General features: G+C 59.7%; 1 protein-coding gene and 2 long non-coding RNA genes across 6 annotated transcripts in view, besides 10 other annotated features; 1 reads left to right on the top strand and 2 right to left on the bottom strand.

The window, feature by feature from the left end:
- The window catches only part of GBX2-AS1 (GBX2 and ASB18 antisense RNA 1), a 46,784-nt gene extending 39,834 nt beyond the window's left edge, over positions 1-6,950 (bottom strand). Inside the window, exon 1 of the long non-coding RNA NR_186035.1 lies at positions 6,723-6,950. This is a non-coding gene — a long non-coding RNA (GBX2 and ASB18 antisense RNA 1). The remainder of the gene's footprint in view (positions 1-6,722) is intronic.
- Positions 201-986: an enhancer, noted in NCBI's record as "H3K27ac-H3K4me1 hESC enhancer chr2:237082049-237082834 (GRCh37/hg19 assembly coordinates)". NCBI's record gives its function as "activates a minimal SCP1, AML or CMV promoter by ChIP-STARR-seq in naive H9 embryonic stem cells {active_cell/tissue: H9 hESC(naive)}" and the evidence as "EXISTENCE:reporter gene assay evidence [ECO:0000049][PMID:30033119]".
- Positions 987-1,774: an enhancer, noted in NCBI's record as "H3K27ac-H3K4me1 hESC enhancer chr2:237081261-237082048 (GRCh37/hg19 assembly coordinates)". NCBI's record gives its function as "activates a minimal SCP1, AML or CMV promoter by ChIP-STARR-seq in naive H9 embryonic stem cells {active_cell/tissue: H9 hESC(naive)}" and the evidence as "EXISTENCE:reporter gene assay evidence [ECO:0000049][PMID:30033119]".
- On the bottom strand, positions 4,596-5,366 carry LOC124906126 (uncharacterized). 2 transcript variants are annotated; one of them, XR_007088135.1, is made up of 2 exons: positions 5,008-5,366; positions 4,596-4,909 (listed from the first exon to the last, which is right to left on the bottom strand). It is a non-coding gene; the product is annotated as an uncharacterized LOC124906126 (long non-coding RNA). The 2 variants fall into 2 exon arrangements; XR_007088136.1 differs by having other exon boundaries at positions 4,596-4,863.
- Positions 6,006-13,052, top strand: GBX2 (gastrulation brain homeobox 2). Of its 3 annotated transcripts, XM_047443907.1 has the most exons (4): positions 6,006-6,943; positions 7,955-8,858; positions 9,402-11,838; positions 11,928-13,052. In XM_047443907.1, exons 1-2 carry the CDS (start codon positions 6,421-6,423, stop codon positions 8,476-8,478), a joined length of 1,047 nt encoding a protein of 348 aa, XP_047299863.1. In that variant the 5' UTR covers positions 6,006-6,420; the 3' UTR covers positions 8,479-8,858; positions 9,402-11,838; positions 11,928-13,052. The 3 variants fall into 3 exon arrangements, with proteins under 3 accessions (XP_047299863.1, NP_001288616.1, NP_001476.2); NM_001301687.2 differs by lacking the exons at positions 9,402-11,838; positions 11,928-13,052 and adding an exon at positions 7,218-7,254 and having other exon boundaries at positions 7,955-9,156; NM_001485.4 differs by lacking the exons at positions 9,402-11,838; positions 11,928-13,052 and having other exon boundaries at positions 7,955-9,156.
- Positions 6,875-7,827: an enhancer, noted in NCBI's record as "H3K27ac-H3K4me1 hESC enhancer chr2:237075208-237076160 (GRCh37/hg19 assembly coordinates)". NCBI's record gives its function as "activates a minimal SCP1, AML or CMV promoter by ChIP-STARR-seq in naive H9 embryonic stem cells {active_cell/tissue: H9 hESC(naive)}" and the evidence as "EXISTENCE:reporter gene assay evidence [ECO:0000049][PMID:30033119]".
- Positions 9,990-10,809: an enhancer, noted in NCBI's record as "H3K27ac-H3K4me1 hESC enhancer chr2:237072227-237073046 (GRCh37/hg19 assembly coordinates)". NCBI's record gives its function as "activates a minimal SCP1, AML or CMV promoter by ChIP-STARR-seq in primed H9 embryonic stem cells {active_cell/tissue: H9 hESC(primed)}" and the evidence as "EXISTENCE:reporter gene assay evidence [ECO:0000049][PMID:30033119]".
- Positions 11,188-11,672: an enhancer, noted in NCBI's record as "VISTA enhancer hs249". NCBI's record gives its function as "enhancer in: neural tube[7/8]" and the evidence as "EXISTENCE:transgenic organism evidence [ECO:0001131][PMID:17130149]".
- Positions 11,630-12,449: an enhancer, noted in NCBI's record as "H3K4me1 hESC enhancer chr2:237070587-237071406 (GRCh37/hg19 assembly coordinates)". NCBI's record gives its function as "activates a minimal SCP1, AML or CMV promoter by ChIP-STARR-seq in naive H9 embryonic stem cells {active_cell/tissue: H9 hESC(naive)}" and the evidence as "EXISTENCE:reporter gene assay evidence [ECO:0000049][PMID:30033119]".
- Positions 12,450-13,271: an enhancer, noted in NCBI's record as "H3K4me1 hESC enhancer chr2:237069765-237070586 (GRCh37/hg19 assembly coordinates)". NCBI's record gives its function as "activates a minimal SCP1, AML or CMV promoter by ChIP-STARR-seq in naive H9 embryonic stem cells {active_cell/tissue: H9 hESC(naive)}" and the evidence as "EXISTENCE:reporter gene assay evidence [ECO:0000049][PMID:30033119]".
- Positions 13,272-14,091: an enhancer, noted in NCBI's record as "H3K27ac-H3K4me1 hESC enhancer chr2:237068945-237069764 (GRCh37/hg19 assembly coordinates)". NCBI's record gives its function as "activates a minimal SCP1, AML or CMV promoter by ChIP-STARR-seq in naive H9 embryonic stem cells {active_cell/tissue: H9 hESC(naive)}" and the evidence as "EXISTENCE:reporter gene assay evidence [ECO:0000049][PMID:30033119]".
- Positions 14,092-14,912: an enhancer, noted in NCBI's record as "OCT4-NANOG-H3K27ac-H3K4me1 hESC enhancer chr2:237068124-237068944 (GRCh37/hg19 assembly coordinates)". NCBI's record gives its function as "activates a minimal SCP1, AML or CMV promoter by ChIP-STARR-seq in naive H9 embryonic stem cells {active_cell/tissue: H9 hESC(naive)}" and the evidence as "EXISTENCE:reporter gene assay evidence [ECO:0000049][PMID:30033119]".
- Positions 14,913-15,733: an enhancer, noted in NCBI's record as "OCT4-NANOG-H3K27ac-H3K4me1 hESC enhancer chr2:237067303-237068123 (GRCh37/hg19 assembly coordinates)". NCBI's record gives its function as "activates a minimal SCP1, AML or CMV promoter by ChIP-STARR-seq in naive H9 embryonic stem cells {active_cell/tissue: H9 hESC(naive)}" and the evidence as "EXISTENCE:reporter gene assay evidence [ECO:0000049][PMID:30033119]".

Raw genomic sequence — 15,784 nt, 5'->3', positions numbered from 1 at the left:
ACACACCTACCCTTGAGTTTTACAGAAGACCTTATTTCTGAGTGACGTTTCCCTGGGAATTCCAATGACTTTTGAATGACTTTTACAATGACTTTCGCCTGGGAGTTCCACCTGGGGGCATTTGTTACAAGTGACAGAGGCCATTCCAATTCTCACTCCCCATTTAGCCAACATCTCTCCTTTCCATTCATACCCAACGCCGTGCCCCTGTCTTGTGACATTCTTTTCAGGAGGAGGAAATAACCAGAGGAAATTCAGGCTCTGCTTTGCAGGATTTTCTGGAAGAAGAAACAGTTCTTGCTACAGCAATCACTGCTCATTTGGTCCCGGAAGAAGCTAAAGTTGGAGGGGTGCCCCTGGTGTGCATGGCTGTTGATTCAACACCCTTCTGCTCCCTCCAGCGCGGTTTCTAAAGGGTTAAATGCGTGCCCTCCGGGCAGACCGCATCCTCTTTAAAATACTACTTCCCTGAAGGGGGTCGGGGCCGTCGTGGAGGCAGCGGCTGGGGACTTGGTTTGGGGTGTCCAGGAGTCCCGGGGGGTTCCAGCCTCCAGGGAAGACTCATAGGGTCCATGGCCTGCCTCTCCTAGACACACGGTCTCCTGGCGAGCATTGGAAGCTCATGGGGCTCACAGCTAAGCGCCGGCCATCGTCTCTGGCCTCTGCTTCTTCCTTCTCCGTGTGTTGGACGCTGGCTGCGTCCAGCCCAGGCCCATTGCGACGTGCCCGCAGCCTTCCAGGACGAGGCAGGCGGGATGCGGCGCCCGCACGGTAGCAGACCCGGGCTCCTCAGGAGGGCTGCCCGAGAGGCCATCCCGAAGGTCCCCAGCCCAGGCCAAAGCGCACCCCCTCACCCCTCCGTGCCCTCTGCCCGGTTCCCAGGCCGCGGTTCACGCGGCCCGGGGATTAGCATCTCTGTGAAGTCCCGCAAACAATGCCTGCTGTGCGGGAGATGAAAGCCGGGCACCGGGTGGCAGGGCGCGTTTGAAGTCCCCGAAAGGTGGGGCCTCGGGAATCCGAGGGAGCAGATGGGAGGAGATAAACCCAGGTGAGAAGCGCCTGGCGGCCGGCGTCTCCCTCCCCAACACTCCAAGGGCTGGGGTTCGCCGACGGACGCGGCCTCCAGAACCCCGGCCGGAGCCAGACCCGGGCAGGACACAAGGGGACACCACTCCCGCCCGCACCCCCGGCCTCCGCCCGCACAGCTGCAGCCCTTGGACCCGAGCCCCCAGCCTGGCCTTCGCCTGGTGCTCCCTCTTCCCAAGCCGGGAGCCCCGGGGCGGGCGTACGCCTCAGTCCCCACGGAGAATCCCCCTTTGCCTGGCTAGGTGCTCCCGGAGAGACGCGCGGTGAGCGCGGGCGCTGGGCTTCCAGGACGAAGGGCGATGGGCGATCAGTTACCCCCAGTGGTCTTGAACTCCCCAGCCTCAATCGTTACGGCTGCTCTGAAAAAGAACTAGGACACCCGCAAGCGCCCTCGGACATCTGGATCCCGGCCGGGGGAGCCGAGTTCCGCGTGGAGTTGGGGTAGTCCCGGGCTCCAAGCGCACGCAACGCTCGCCGGGTGCGCCGTCGGCGCGACAGCGCCCGCCGCCCCAGGGGCTCCGGGGCTGTGTAGCATTCCACCCCCACCCTCCCATTCCCAGATGCCACGAGGGCTCGCCTCGCGGGCCGAGCGGCTGTGGCTCCTCCTGTTCCTCGTCGCTGGAGTGGAGAGGGCGGCGCAGGTGTGAAGGGTCACGTTTCCCAGCCTTCAGGCCTGCGGATAACATTTTTCAACTCCCAGGAGGAAATGAAGAAGAAGAAAAGCCCCTCCCCTTCACATTTCTATTTTGCGGTTGTTTTGTTTCTGCTACTTTGAGGGTGGGGGACAAAAAGCAAAGTTTCTACATAAGAATGTCGCAGCACACACAGTCCCGCAAAGTGTTTCTTCTTCAGGGAGCTTTAGAAAACCCCCTGTCCTGCTTTCTGCATGGTCAAGGAGCAGAATAATGAAACCAAAGACTTTTATTTTATAAACCACTTGATCTTTGCTTGGGAAACTCTATTAATTGAATGGGTTTGCCTTTTTTGCCAGTCCCCTTTATCATTATTTATGGGCTTTAAATTGTTTAAAGTTCCCTTGACGTTCAATTTACAAGTTTGGGGACTTTTTTTGTTCTGCCTTTTGTCCTGGAGAAAGACATCGTGTTGGAAGTGCTTTGAAAAGCCAAACATGAGAGGTTGGCAATGAAAGGGAAGCGGGCGAGATCCCTTTTAATTCCGTCCTGTTGGTGAATGGCTCTTTTACATAATTGCAGGAGCTATTTCAAAGCCAGCCAAGGGCTGACTTCACTTAGAACCACATGGAGTCTATTTTGGGCTTTCAGATTAAAAAAAAAAAAAAGCTGAATAAAATGTTTAAAAAGATGAGGCTTCAATGCTTTCTGCTACTTGCAAATTAGTGTGTCTGATGGGGAATTTTACACAAGCGCCCCTTTGTAAGTGCGTCCTGGGCTCGGGAGGGACTGTTCAGGGTTAGCTGGGTGTGAATCCCAATTGCCCTTCCATAAATAAAACCCATCCCAAGTTATTTCCCAACTATTGCCAGGAGCAAGAGCTGCGGCAATGACCAAACGATCGGGCTTCTCAAAATCCCTGTAAATAAAAACAACTCGGTTGCCCGAGAAACCAGCCTGTCGCCTAGGACTGGGCGACTGGCGGGAGCGCCAGACCCTCGAGGCCCGCAGGATTCCCCGCGTCCTCCGAGACCACGGGTGGCCACACCGTACCCTCTCCACGACCACCCGTTACCTCGACTCTGGCGGCGGCAGCGAAGCGCGCCATTCGCGGTGCTTCCTCCTCCGGATTGGGCTGGGCTGGGCTGGGCAGGCCAGCACAAGTTTGCTGCATGAATATTCATTTACTTGTGCGTTTTCTATTTCACCCTCAACCTTCATACATCTGCATGCAAGCGCAGCCTGGGACAACCCCGAAGCGAGGGGCCAACTTAATTACCATCACTTTTTCGGAATGTCTGAGGTTTTAAGTGGCATCATCTGAACCTGACACTAGCCTAGCACCTGTCGAGTGAAGTGCCCAGGGGCTGAGCTATCTTCATCTAGGGGGGAAGAGGGGAGGGAAGTTCACGAAGTTAACTGGAGTTGGAGGACCCAGCTCTCCCTTCGGGTGCGCCCTTCATTTTTCCTAATTGGAGGGGGGAGGGGACCAAGTTGCAAACATCTGTGCCCGGTGATTTTCCCGCGTAGACTGGGCCGAGCTGAGTCACGGAGGACTCTGCAGTTTGAGGCTGTTACGAGCTAAGCAGGTAGGAATCCGGAGGATGGATAAGCCATGCATCTATCGCTCCTGTCCATAAATCTATCCGAGGAGCCGAGGAAAAACTCTAAAGGCTTTTATTATCCGCAGTCCCCACGCTCTGAACGCTTTGCAGGTAGCTGAGGTGCCCCGAATGCATCTTGTTAATCACGCCGAAACACAAGGATCCTTTTATGACACGAACAGTCGTTTTCTAAGCAGCTAAGCATTAGATGAGAAAGTATTACTGCATTGCATTTGCGAAAAAGGCACTAGTAAATAAAATTCATATTGATGGGAATTATCTGAACTCACTAATAAAAGATTAGTATTATAACCCCTGCAGTCAATACTTGCTATGGCAATTTATGGATGCAAATAACATGCCATCAAATTATTTCAAGTGCAGCTATAATTCGACGGACCTAAATCTTCTTGCTGAACTTTAAATGTAGAATAATCACCAAAATAATCAAAGGAATCCCTGCCTCTCAGAGGGTAATCAGGCGACAAAAGTCCCTAGAACAATATTTTTGCGGCGAAATAGCAAAGTGCATGGCAAACCTGCCTAGGTAAAATGAATAACAGCTTCCCCCGGCATGTCAGTGGCAAGCCGGAAGGGCCCCGGCTGTAGCCACGTAAATCAAGGAAGGAATGGAGCGTTTCTTAGTATTCAAAAAACAGGGTAATGGCACCCAAGGCTGTGTCACTGTAACTATCTCATAATGAGGGGGAGTATTTATTATGCTCATAAAGATATCAGCCTTTTGCCCTGGGCTTCGATTTTTTTTTTCTTTTTCTTCTTTTCTGGGAGTGAAGAAGGAGGGATAGAGCCTGGAGATCCCACAGACACCTCCTTCTCCATGGATCCCAAAGGGAATTCATTTCCCCTCACACTGCCTAAGCCACCTCGGGGTCTGGGCGTGAAGTCAGGGGAGGCAATCCAGGCAGCGTCCTAATGAATTCCTTTCAAACCGCCTGCTGCCGGAGCGATCTATTACTGCGGCCTGGAGTGGGGAAACGCGATCGAGACGTCTTTGTCCGGGTGGTGGTAGGGAGGGAGGAGGCGAGGAGGAGGAGAGGGCTGGCGGCGGACCAGCGAGTTTTCCCAGCGTCCCGGGGCGCCAAGGACACACCCTCCCCTCTTTCCTCCAGGTCTGCTGGGTGGGCAGTGGGTCTCCGGCGGGACTCCTGGCAGAGGAGCTGATCTGGGATTAAGACGTCCCCCGGGGGGCCTTGGGGCTAGAGCGAGAGAAAGAGGAAGAACGCGAAAAAAGAGCTTCAAAGAATCGGGTCGATAAATTCATAAAGATCGATTTATCTTTATCTCCCAATTAAATGTGCTTGTAAGTGATACATAACACACGTCCAACACGGGCCAACTCCCCAACCACTAGCTCCTCGGCGTGAGCTGATTTTTAATGACCGAACTAACAATGCCCTTCTTTCCTTCTCCCCAACCCGGTGCTGTTGGCGGTTCAGGGCTGACGTCTAGACCCGGGAAGTTGAAGCCCGGGCCTTGGAGACTCGAGGAAGCCCCGCTCGCGCTGGTGCGCTCTGCACGGTCTGCCGTTGTCAAGAAGTGATTCCATTTTTAAAGGGAAGACAAGAGCTGAAAGTTTTTTGTTTGAAAATGGAAGAGGGGATAAGTACGTCCCTAGTTTCCCTCCACCCCAAAATTCCCTTACTTTCAAATTTGGGGGTCTTTACCGTTGTCGAGAACAGGGGAAACATCCTGAGGGGATCGGCTCCATCCTGCAGTTAGCAAAGAGGAACCGCGCGCCCTCGAGTCCTCGCGCTGGAAACCGGGCGGCGGCGCCAGGGTGAGCACTCCTTGCGTTCGCAACGTGCTTAATTAGCGCCTATTTACAAAACGCAGCTTTTATTTGAGCAAACATCATAAAGCTTTCATCAGGATAATCTCACGTTATACAATCTGGAGGCACAGCAACTCCCCCCTTCCTCCCCGAGGATGGAGCAGATAAAGGACTCTCTTTATTATCATAATTATCGTGGTTGTTATTTTGGTGCGCGCTGGCAAAGTGTGTAAATAGGTGCGATGATTAAGAATGTCATGAAAAATGAGAGACGGGATCGCTCACGGGAGGGCCCAGCCCGGGATGGGGGAAGCAGCAGCCTCCCCGCCCCACCCGGTGCGCGGACCTACAGCGAGCAACCCGGCGGGTTTCTGGCGGCGGGCAGGCGCTGCCAGCTCCCAGCCTTCGCCCCGGGGGTGGCTCCGGAGGGGCAGGACCCTGCCCCCAACTCCAGGACCCTCGCCCGGACCCCAGGCGCAGCCGGAGCACCCAGCGCTGGAGTGAGCCGCAGGCAGGTTGGTTCCATGGCAAATACAGTAAAAGAAATAAAGCGCCCCCGGCCCAGCCGTGGGGGTGCGGGCCCCGGAGGCTACCCTTCGAGGTGGCCTCGACAAGGCTGCAGGGCCCCAAGGTCCGAGCCTTGGAGGTGCCATCCGCCCGTCTCAAGTTTGCGCGGCACGGGCTAGGCATGCAGGCTCCGGCTCCCCGGCCCGCGCGCTCCGACGGTGGCGCCCGCAGCCCGCTCGAGGCCAGCTTGGGTGGAAAGGGCGGGGCCCCGCTTTCGCCCCACCCCCGCCCCGCTCAGCCAATGGCCAGAGGCGCCCAGCCCCACGTGAGGCGAGCCGGGCCAGGCGGCAGGCAAAATGTGAATGAGAAAGAGGAGCGCGATTTAAAGGTGCTGGCTGCGCCCGCCGGAGATAAGTACGCCGGCTTCGCGCGCTCCCCAGCGGCCCGCGGGAGGCGACGGACGGCGGGACGGACGGACGGACGGCAGCTTACCGGGGCCGAGGGCCAAACCCGCGAAGCGCGCGGGCTCCGACGGGCAAGCGGCGGACGGGGGCTCCGGCGAGCCCTCGGGGCCCGGGCGCCCTCTCCACTCCGGGGCGCACGGCCTCACCCCGCACACCCCCTGCACCCGCCCGGCATGCAGCGGGCCCAGGACTGAGGGGCGGAGGCGTCTGCTCTCCGGGTCCCGCTCGGCCCCTGCCCGGCGCTCCCGGCGGTGCTCCCGGCGTCCGGCGGGCTTCCCGGCGGCGGCGCGGCGCGGGGACTTTTCGCCTCTCGCTGGCCTCTACCGAGCGCGTCTATGAGCGCAGCGTTCCCGCCGTCGCTGATGATGATGCAGCGCCCGCTGGGGAGTAGCACCGCCTTCAGCATAGACTCGCTGATCGGCAGCCCGCCGCAGCCCAGCCCCGGCCATTTCGTCTACACCGGCTACCCCATGTTCATGCCCTACCGGCCGGTAGTGCTGCCGCCGCCGCCGCCGCCGCCGCCCGCGCTGCCCCAGGCCGCGCTGCAGCCAGCGCTGCCGCCCGCACACCCTCACCACCAGATCCCCAGCCTGCCCACAGGCTTCTGCTCCAGCCTGGCGCAGGGCATGGCGCTCACCTCTACGCTCATGGCCACGCTCCCCGGCGGCTTCTCCGCGTCGCCCCAGCACCAGGAGGCGGCAGCGGCCCGCAAGTTCGCGCCGCAGCCGCTGCCCGGCGGCGGTAACTTCGACAAGGCGGAGGCGCTGCAGGCTGACGCGGAGGACGGCAAAGGCTTCCTGGCCAAAGAGGGCTCGCTGCTCGCCTTCTCCGCGGCCGAGACGGTGCAGGCTTCGCTCGGTGAGTCGGCGGCGCGCGCAGCCGGGACGAGGGGGCGGGAGGAGGCGGGGGCGGGCCAGCGCCGGGTTCCCGCGGGAGACCAAGGGGGCGAGGCCGCGCCCCCGCTCGACCCCCGCGGGAGGAGCTGGAGGATGAGGCCCGGCTGTGCCGCTGGGCCTCCGGGGGACATTCAGAGCCACCCAACAAGCGGGGTCTCGGGAGGGGGGGCGTTTAGCGCCCGGCGACCAGCTGCTGCCCTGGGCCACATATCTATCTGACGATGCGTTTGGCCGAGGCCGCCTCTGCCGCTCCGCGGTGACCTGGGGTTCCGGGTAGGTTGCAGCCTCTAGGGGAGACGGGTTGGGCTGCGCGTCTCAGCCGTGCGTGTGCCCAGGGGCGCCCAGACTTTTTAAACCCCTTCGCTGGTCTTGCTACTTGTCTGGGAGAAACGGACTGCTGGGAGGCTGTGCCTGTGTGTTTGTGTTGGGGGTGTCTGGTGGGAACTTATAAGGCCACAAAACATCCCTTTGACCAACGTTGTCTGTCTCAAAAAAGATGGTCTGGGATCTGCACGTCCCTACGCCTCCACTCCGGTTAGGAAGCAATTGAGGTTCACTACATTTTCATGGTGGCGGTGGGGGGAGGATGAATCGTGAATCCCCCCATCAGTCCTCAACCAGTCCCCACCCCAGGGACAAAGCGGGCAATCTCTTGGGCCTCGCGCCTCCTGCTACTTCTCCTGACGCTGCCGAGGCTGGGAGGGTGCGGGGGAGGCATGGCGGCCCTTTGAGTGATGGTTCTGGGCAAAGGGCCGTCGCCTGTACTGCCTCCTCTCCTTTGAGCTTTCTCACGCTCCCCCCACCCCTCCTCTACCCCTCAAAGGCCAGGAAATCACAATGTGTTAATGTCATAGAAAGACAATCCGCTAAAGGGTGGGGGGCGGGGGGCGCGGAATGTCCAAATGACGGTGGGAAGGAGAAAGGAAGGCCAGTGTGCGAAATGTAATAAAATGCCGTTTGGTTTTGCTTTCAGTCGGGGCTGTCCGAGGGCAAGGGAAAGACGAGTCAAAGGTGGAAGACGACCCGAAGGGCAAGGAGGAGAGCTTCTCGCTGGAGAGCGATGTGGACTACAGCTCGGATGACAATCTGACTGGCCAGGCAGCTCACAAGGAGGAAGACCCGGGCCACGCGCTGGAGGAGACCCCGCCGAGCAGCGGCGCCGCGGGCAGCACCACGTCTACGGGCAAGAACCGGCGGCGGCGGACTGCCTTCACCAGCGAGCAGCTGCTGGAGCTAGAGAAGGAGTTCCACTGCAAAAAGTACCTCTCCTTGACCGAGCGCTCGCAGATCGCCCACGCCCTCAAACTCAGCGAGGTGCAGGTGAAAATCTGGTTCCAGAACCGACGGGCCAAGTGGAAACGGGTGAAGGCAGGCAATGCCAATTCCAAGACAGGGGAGCCCTCCCGGAACCCTAAGATCGTCGTCCCCATCCCTGTCCACGTCAGCAGGTTCGCTATCAGAAGTCAGCATCAGCAGCTAGAACAGGCCCGGCCCTGAGGGTCCAGAAGGGCCAGGGCCTGGCACCCACCTGGAGAAGCCCCCGCACCCGAGGGAACCCATGGTGGACTCCACTGTGTTTGAAGCAACAAAGTCACAGCCCAGCTGTGGCCATCCCAAGCAAATTGAGAATATATTCACTAAATGGGCTTAAAAGACTGCTTTTGAAGGGGCTTACAGCCACACCAGAAGACACGCTAAATATTTATTATACTATCCTACTTTGTACATAAATATCTCTATAGACTGGATCTCAGCTGCAGTATTTTGAAAGTTATAGGACTTAATTACCCAGTAATTTCTCCACTCATTCCAGAAGAAAACAAAACCTCTGCTGTAATCTGCGCGGTTAGCAGCCACCTTTCCATACTTTTCCAAAGGTAAACGTGAAACCCAAGAACAAGCACTGGGGTTTAAACTGATTTTGGTTTGCGTTCTGGCTTTTTGAGTTGACTGAAAAGCAGACATTGTTAGGCAGCCTGGAAATTCGCTTTGCTTTGCTTTGCTTTTGCCTGGCTTTGGTTTCCCCTGGGGTTGCCTATCCTATCTGAGCCATGTGAAGCACGTCTCCGTTGTGTTAATTTATTTCAATGTAGCTTATTTTCTTATAAGTTATGACATTTAAACAATTTCAGTCTTGTGAATAATAAAAAGGAGAGAGGGGGGGAAAAAGACCAATCCCTGGGCCTCATAAGTGTGTCCAGAATTTGACCGTCCCGGGCACTGCCAGGGTGTGGCCGGGCAACTGGTCTGGGACCAGTACTGGAGAAACGTCCCCTGAAACAGGTCTCCTTAGGCATCCTGGACTTGAGCCACCCAGCACTTTGCCAGGTTTAAAATAGGAGGGCAAGAGGGCCGATAGGATTACGAATTTAAGAAAACCTAATTCTCACCTTAGAAATCTATCTCCCCCTTTTGCACAGCCTAATCGATACCTAGTAGGCCGGCAAACTTCGGCCAGAGGAGGAGGTGGGTGCCCGGAGGAGGCAAGCGAGTGCGGGTATTGGTGGCTTTGCACAAACTCCTGATGCTCCAAATCGACTACAGCCAGGGAGGAAACGTCTTTCCTTTACAAATATCTCCGGCCCGAAAAGAAGCGGTGCTCGCCTGCCGGCAGAGTGGAGGGTCCATAAATCAGGCTCCGGGCGTTATCTGGCGACAGGAGCAAAAACCCAGCGAGCCCAGCCGGCTTCCCGGCAGCCCTCAGTCGGAGGCGGAGGCTGGCTGGAGCGCCCCCGGCCCCGGCACCTCCCCCTCCGGGCGGGGTCGAGGGGGCGGGACCCGGGCACCGCCCCACCCCAAGGACGCCCCGGTAGTCCGCACCACAAAGGGGGAAAACGGGAGAGGCTACGCAGGGGAGCTGGGAGTCGGTCTGCAAGGGACGGGGAGCTGCGCGCCTCCCCATCTCGGTGGGGCGTGCCTGGTCCCCAAGCCCACTCCTGTCCCAACCCCGGCCCTGCGCTCAGAGCCCTGTCCGCTCGCTGCCGGACCCCGAAGCGCGCCGCCAGATACTGCGGCGGACAGGCCCAGGGGCGTTCAGCGGGCCAGCGAGTGTGAGCGTGGTGCCACCAAGCCAGCAGCCCGAAGCGCGAGAGAAGCCGGGGCTTCGCCAGCCTCAGCCTTTCGAGTGGGGGAAGGAGGGGAGGCCGGTGAGCCGCTGCGATGCAGCGGCGCTCGGCCCTCGGCGAGGTTCTCAGCCGAAGAAGGGGAAGCGCGGCCCGCCATGGGTTAGTACTAATATTGACTTAATTTTTACTACTTACAGGCCGTCACCTCCCCACGGCGGAGGGGCCTGGGGACCAAGACCTCCACCCAAACTTCAGGCGCAGGGTGAAGGCTGGGAGCGACCGAGTCACCCTTTCCCGCCGCGTTCCCAACAGTTCCGGTGGCGGAAAATGGCCCAGACTTGGTTTTCGAGCCCAATAAAATAGAAGGGCCAGTCCTCCGAGGGCGTCGGCCGGCTCTGCGGGGCGCCGAGAGCCGCAGAGGCTCCTGGCCGCGCCCCGCCCAGCGCCATGAAGCCTGGCAGGGAGGGGATGGCGCCCGGGTCGCGCCCTGGCCTGGCGCGGGGGCCGCAAGGCCGGGATCCCGCCCGCCAGGAAGCGCTGAGTGCAGGTTGCCGGTGAGCGCCTGCTGCTCGGGGCAGGTACCCACTGGCCACACGACGCTGCTGCAGCATTCGAGGCCCGCAGGGACGCCGTCCCCCGACCCACACACCTGAGCCAGTCTGCGCGTGGCTGGGGGCGAAGAGTTTACCCGGGAAGGTTGGGGAGCTGCGGCCTCTGCCCCGCCGGCCCTGCGGGTCGGGGGAAGAGACCCTGGCACTCCCCGCAGATCCTGGAGTGCCCCCCATATCCCCTTCCACCATAACAGGTGTAACCCCACCCGCCTTCTCCAAAAGCCCATGGCAGGGATGAGGGGCAGAGGGACCCGAAGCTTTGACCGCACAAACCCGGCGGGAAAGCGAAGCCCACTAGGAACCGGAGGCCGCCGTCAGGAAGCCCCGCTCCTGGGACCGAGCTCCGGGCCCTCCCAGCCTCGAGGTCCTCGCCCTATGGAGGCACGAGGAGGAGAGGGCCCGAGCTCCCCAAGCTGGCCGATGCCGCCCTCCCTCCTGCTCCTCGGGGCGCTGACCCCCTCCCTCCCTAACCCCTGAGCCCCGGGGCGCCCCCGAGAGCCCGGCAGGGAGGCCAAGGCCCGGGAGACAGGCCGAGGGGAGGAAGATAAACAAGCAGCGCTTGATGGCCGCTGTCATCATGGCCGTCATCATGGCTTTCATTTGGCTGCCTAATGAGTCACATCACAGGCAGAGAGAAAAATTGTCAATCGCCCGGGCCCTAATGAATTTTTTTGCAAATTGTAATCAAGCCAGGCCGTCTCAGCTGGCTGATTAATGAGACCCACGAGGCTCGGCCAGCACCTCAGCTTTTTATTCCATCCCGTCCTCCCTGCACTAAATTAACAGCAACTTGTCTGAGCTTCAAATTAACTCCCAATGATTAATTCTGATGGGGGGGCCTGAAGAATAGCTTGTTCTAATAGGCTCTGGCCTGAGATGCTGTTGGAAATTAATACACTTCCCCTTTGGCTGCCGGCTTTAATCCAAGGTTGGGTTTTGACATCACTATATTTGTTGTTACAATAAATTCCACTTACATCTGCAGATCAAATAATTACACTTGGGAGCTCCTTGGACCTGCGCCCCCCAGCCGTGCACTGGGACGCCTCAGGGCTGCCTGCACCCCGCAGCCACCGACCCAGGCAGAGGTCGGAGGGGGGCCACAAGAACAGTCACTCCACCCAGTGACTGCCTTTGCTCCCTGGCAAGCCAGGCACCCCTGCCCCATTGGAGAACCCAAGGTATGCTGAAAATCCGCAGCCATCTCCCTGTTCTTGGGGCAGGACCCTCTTTAGTTTGGTCCTGGGCCTCAAGCAACTTCCCCTTCCAGAAGGAGCCCAGGACTACCTTCCCAGCAGCCGGGACCCACCTGCACTGGAAGCTGCTCAAATCCCAACCTGCGCTGGAATTTTCGAGACTTAGTGCATGCTTGTGCATCCAGCCTTTGCTTCCTGTCTTCAGCCCCCTGGGTGGTTCTTTCACAGATGCCTTGTCAGCTAAATGGAGAGCAGGGAGTGGCCCCCCCAGGCTTTTTTGAGCCCGGGTTTGCCTCGGAGGACATCCTGACTCTATGGCTGTCTGTGCGTCTGGCCTTCAGCCTAGGTGCTTGTACAAGCCTGGGCACATCGCTGGTACCTGCATTCCAAGACACCCTTTCTCTCAGGGTCAGCACCCTCTCCCTCTTGTTTCTGTTTGTTTGAGCTTAATGGGCTTAATTATTTCAGCTGCATCTGGTGAAGCTCGCACAGGGCTTCCAAGGCTGCTCCCTCCAGCCCCAGACCTGTCTGGAACAGAGTCCCATGTTATGCCCCATGGCGGGTGGTTCTAGGTGCACTGAAAGCCGGGAGTGACCTTCTAGCTTTCCGGCCTCAGGAGCCTTTGGATCACACTCTGGTTCTCACCTCGGGGCCTTCCTAGTCCCAAGTGGCTGGAGCCCACGCATTCAGCAGCGCGGGCAGCAGAGACCCTCTCGGGGCCCTCTTCTTTCCCCTGCTGGACTTCAGTGGCGGTGTGGCAGAGTGGCTCGCTTATGCCCAGCCGTGGCTTCCCAGGGAAGGAGGCTCCAGTGCACACACCTATTTCTGTCCCCAGAGACCCCAGGCATCTGCCCAGGCATGCACAGCCAGAGCAGGTGGCCTGCTCCGACCTTCTGGCCGCTGGGTCCTCCCAGGCAGCTTCAGCGCAGTGCTCAGGGCCCAGTTCCAGGGTAGCAGGGCTCTGGGGTCTTGGGGGAAGCTAAGGCCGGGGTTCTACAGGGACAGCCCAGACGAAGGGAGGTGGCATTCATCTTCATTTTAGGCCCTTAGGGTGTAAACAGGAGAAATATGATCTTGGTAACCAAACATGAATGCAAATCACACCGGCAGAGTAATAAAGCACCTGAAACCCCAACGCACATAAGCAACACCATATGTATGTAGACAACCTGCATAAATTATAAATTACATCATCAAAACCGATTGTCTATTTGAACAGTTCAGAAGTGGGGGCCTAAGCCGACTTCCGCCCTGCCCTCCGTGGCTTTGGGGAAAGGTCAAGCCGCAGTTCCCCTGGACAGGCGGGACTCCCGGCAGCGCTGCGCTGCGCTGAGGCCTGGCTGGCACAGGGGCCTGGGAGACAGGCAGCACACTTTGTCACTGCAGGCGGCAGGCTCTGCTCCGCTGGGGCAGAGGGAGGGTGGGGGGACAGGCCCATGCATTTGGGAGCTGCGGGAGGACCCAGGCTTCTTGGACTGGGGGGCCAATGGCAGATCATGGCTTGGTGGGGGTCCCACCCCCAGAGAGGCTGCCCCTTGACCCAGGCCCTTGCGGCCCATGCCTGGTGCTGCTGCCCTGGAACCCGCTCAGATTTTCCAGCTTGAACTCAAAGGTCCCTGTGAGCGCCTCCTTTGGTCCCCACGGAGTGGCTCTGTGATGAGCAGCGGTGTGAGTGTGCGTGTGTGGGCGGGTGCGCAACTGCTTGAGTCTGTGTGGGTGTGAGCAGGTGACAGTGGGAGTGTGTGTGTGCATGTGCCATTCCCTTTCACGTCCAACCCTCGCTTTGCCGGGTTTCTCCACATTCCCAATAGCCAAGGGTCCGACCCCACTGGGGGAGCCAAAAATGCTGCCCCCAGGCACCCAGCAAAGCTGAACGCCCCCTGTGCCCCTGAGCCCGTCCCTGTGGACTGCTCCCTCTCAGTGTATCCATGCAGCGGCGGGAAGCCCCTCCCCCCATTCCTTCTCCTCTGCCTAGAGGACTCTCGCACCCCCCACCACTCTTGTCTGTGACTCCCACCCGGCATCCTGCAGTCCACTTTCCCCCCACCGCCAGGGTTTGGCCTCTGAGCTTTCTCCACATACCCCAAACCTCCAACGCATGGAGCACCCCCCGCTTTCTGTCCCTGGGTTGACCCCCTCCGCAGTTCACACTGCCCCCACCCCCACCTGGACCTCAGAGCTCTTCCCGGGTCTGGCCTATGGGCTGTTCCGGCTCCCCACCTCGGCAGCCCACCATCAACACCCTAGCCTCCACCGCGAGGCCCCCCTACACACACACACACACACACACACACACACACTCTTAGGGCTCCTAAACTGACTCCCAGCACCCCCCTCCCCAGCCCACCCGCTTCGTGCCGCGGTCGGGTACACCCTCATCCCCTCTCTGGAACAGGCACCGAAGGACGCCAGTGTGCGGCCCAGAGCTGCACGTGCTAGGCTAGGGCGAGGGAAACCGAGGCCAGGGTAGCCCAGGGGTAGGCCTCCAGGCCTGGTCCTGCAGGAAGCCGTGCACCCCGTGGGCCTCGAGGGAGAGAGGCAGGAGGCCCGGCTGCGCTACCAGCCTGGCGGCTCGGACACTCAGGGAGGCAGGGAGGCCGTCGGGGGGCGCGGCGGCCCATCTCGGGCGACCTTGTTCTCCTGATACTCCCGGGGGCCTGAGACCGAAACCGGGGGCCGAGCCCCGAGGGCGCGCCCACGGCTCGAGAGCGGCCTGGGCCCGAGGCAAAAGCCTGAGGCAGGGCCGGGCCCGGGGTGGGGGGGCGGACGTCACTCCGGGCACCCACCCCCAAAGCCTTCATCTCTTTATTTCACAGCCACTGGGTCCCTGGCGGCCTTTGTCATGCCGGTGCGTCTCTGGTGTGGCCGCCTTCGTCCTAAAGGGCCCGGCCCCCCAGCTTCTGCCCCGCGGCCTCCTGAATGACAATGGCTGAAATGGGATTACACCGACATGATCCTATTAAGCCTGACCGCTAGCGGCCGGGCCCCCAGCCAGGGCCCGGGAGAACACGGATCTCCCACCCCCACCTTCTCGCGTTCCCCTTCTCCCCGCCCCCCATCCGACTTGCCCGATGCACCTGGCTCGGCGGGGACCCGGCAGAGAGCTGAGCGCCATGAGGGTTTGGAAGTGGCCGCCTGACCCCAGGAAGAGAGTGGCACCCCGGCTCTGAATAACAAAAGCCGAGCCTGACCAGGCCGAGGAAGGAAAGAAAGGAGGAGCAGACCCCACCCCAGCCTGGCCGGGCCTCCGAGCGTGCAGAGGTGTGTGCAGTCCAGACTGCCAGAAGCCATGCTTGGTGGCTCTGCGTGGCAGCCTCCGAGGCACCTCTCCCACCGCGCCAGCTGGGGCCTGGGATGCGATAGAAATGAGAAAGAGGTGTCCCTGCACCCAGCACCTTACCTGCCCTCCGGTATGGCACAGCCGCCCAGAGGCAAGAGTGAGGGTCCCTTTCTGCAGACAGAGCAACCAGACCTGGGCAGGGGACTCGGGCTGGGCCGCACTTGCAGCGGGAACCGGCCTGGATCCCTCCAAATCCTGACCTCGTCCCCTCCCACAAGCCTTGGGTTCTGAGCCAAGGCCACTGGCACTGACTTCTTTCCAGGGTCAGGGGCCAAGGCAGAGCCCCTGGCCTGTGGGGGAAGGGTGGGACAGTGGACGCCTGTCCTGGGAGAGGGGAGAGGCAGAGCTTTGACCACCCCTGCTGTTGGATACCGGACAGTGCTGGGGGGAAGCTGCAGATGTTTGCTCTTGTTTCAAGTTTTCCTTTTCCTTCTCTTCTCAGCTGAGTTCATCATCATTATCTGAAGTTGGATAGAAATTGTGGGAGAGGTGCAACAGCTGGGTCCAGAGGCCAGAGAGGCGTCTGCTCCTGGCAGAGGCTCCCCTTAGCTAACCCGATCAAAACACTCCACCCAGCGGAACCTGCACTTC

The sequence above is a fragment of the Homo sapiens genome, chromosome 2 (assembly GCF_000001405.40).
Source record: "Homo sapiens chromosome 2, GRCh38.p14 Primary Assembly".
Taxonomy (NCBI): domain Eukaryota; kingdom Metazoa; phylum Chordata; class Mammalia; order Primates; family Hominidae; genus Homo; species Homo sapiens.
The sequence above is the reverse complement of the archived record's forward strand: the minus strand, read 5'-3'. Positions and strand labels throughout refer to the sequence as shown.

Bases quoted from the DNA above. Each gene is read 5' to 3' on its own strand.
- GBX2 (XM_047443907.1), top strand. From the start codon at position 6,421: ATGAGCGCAGCGTTCCCGCCGTCGCTGATGATGATGCAGCGCCCGCTG. The intron at 6,944-7,954 runs GTGAGTCGGCGG...TTTTGCTTTCAG, and splicing joins GACGGTGCAGGCTTCGCTCG to TCGGGGCTGTCCGAGGGCAA.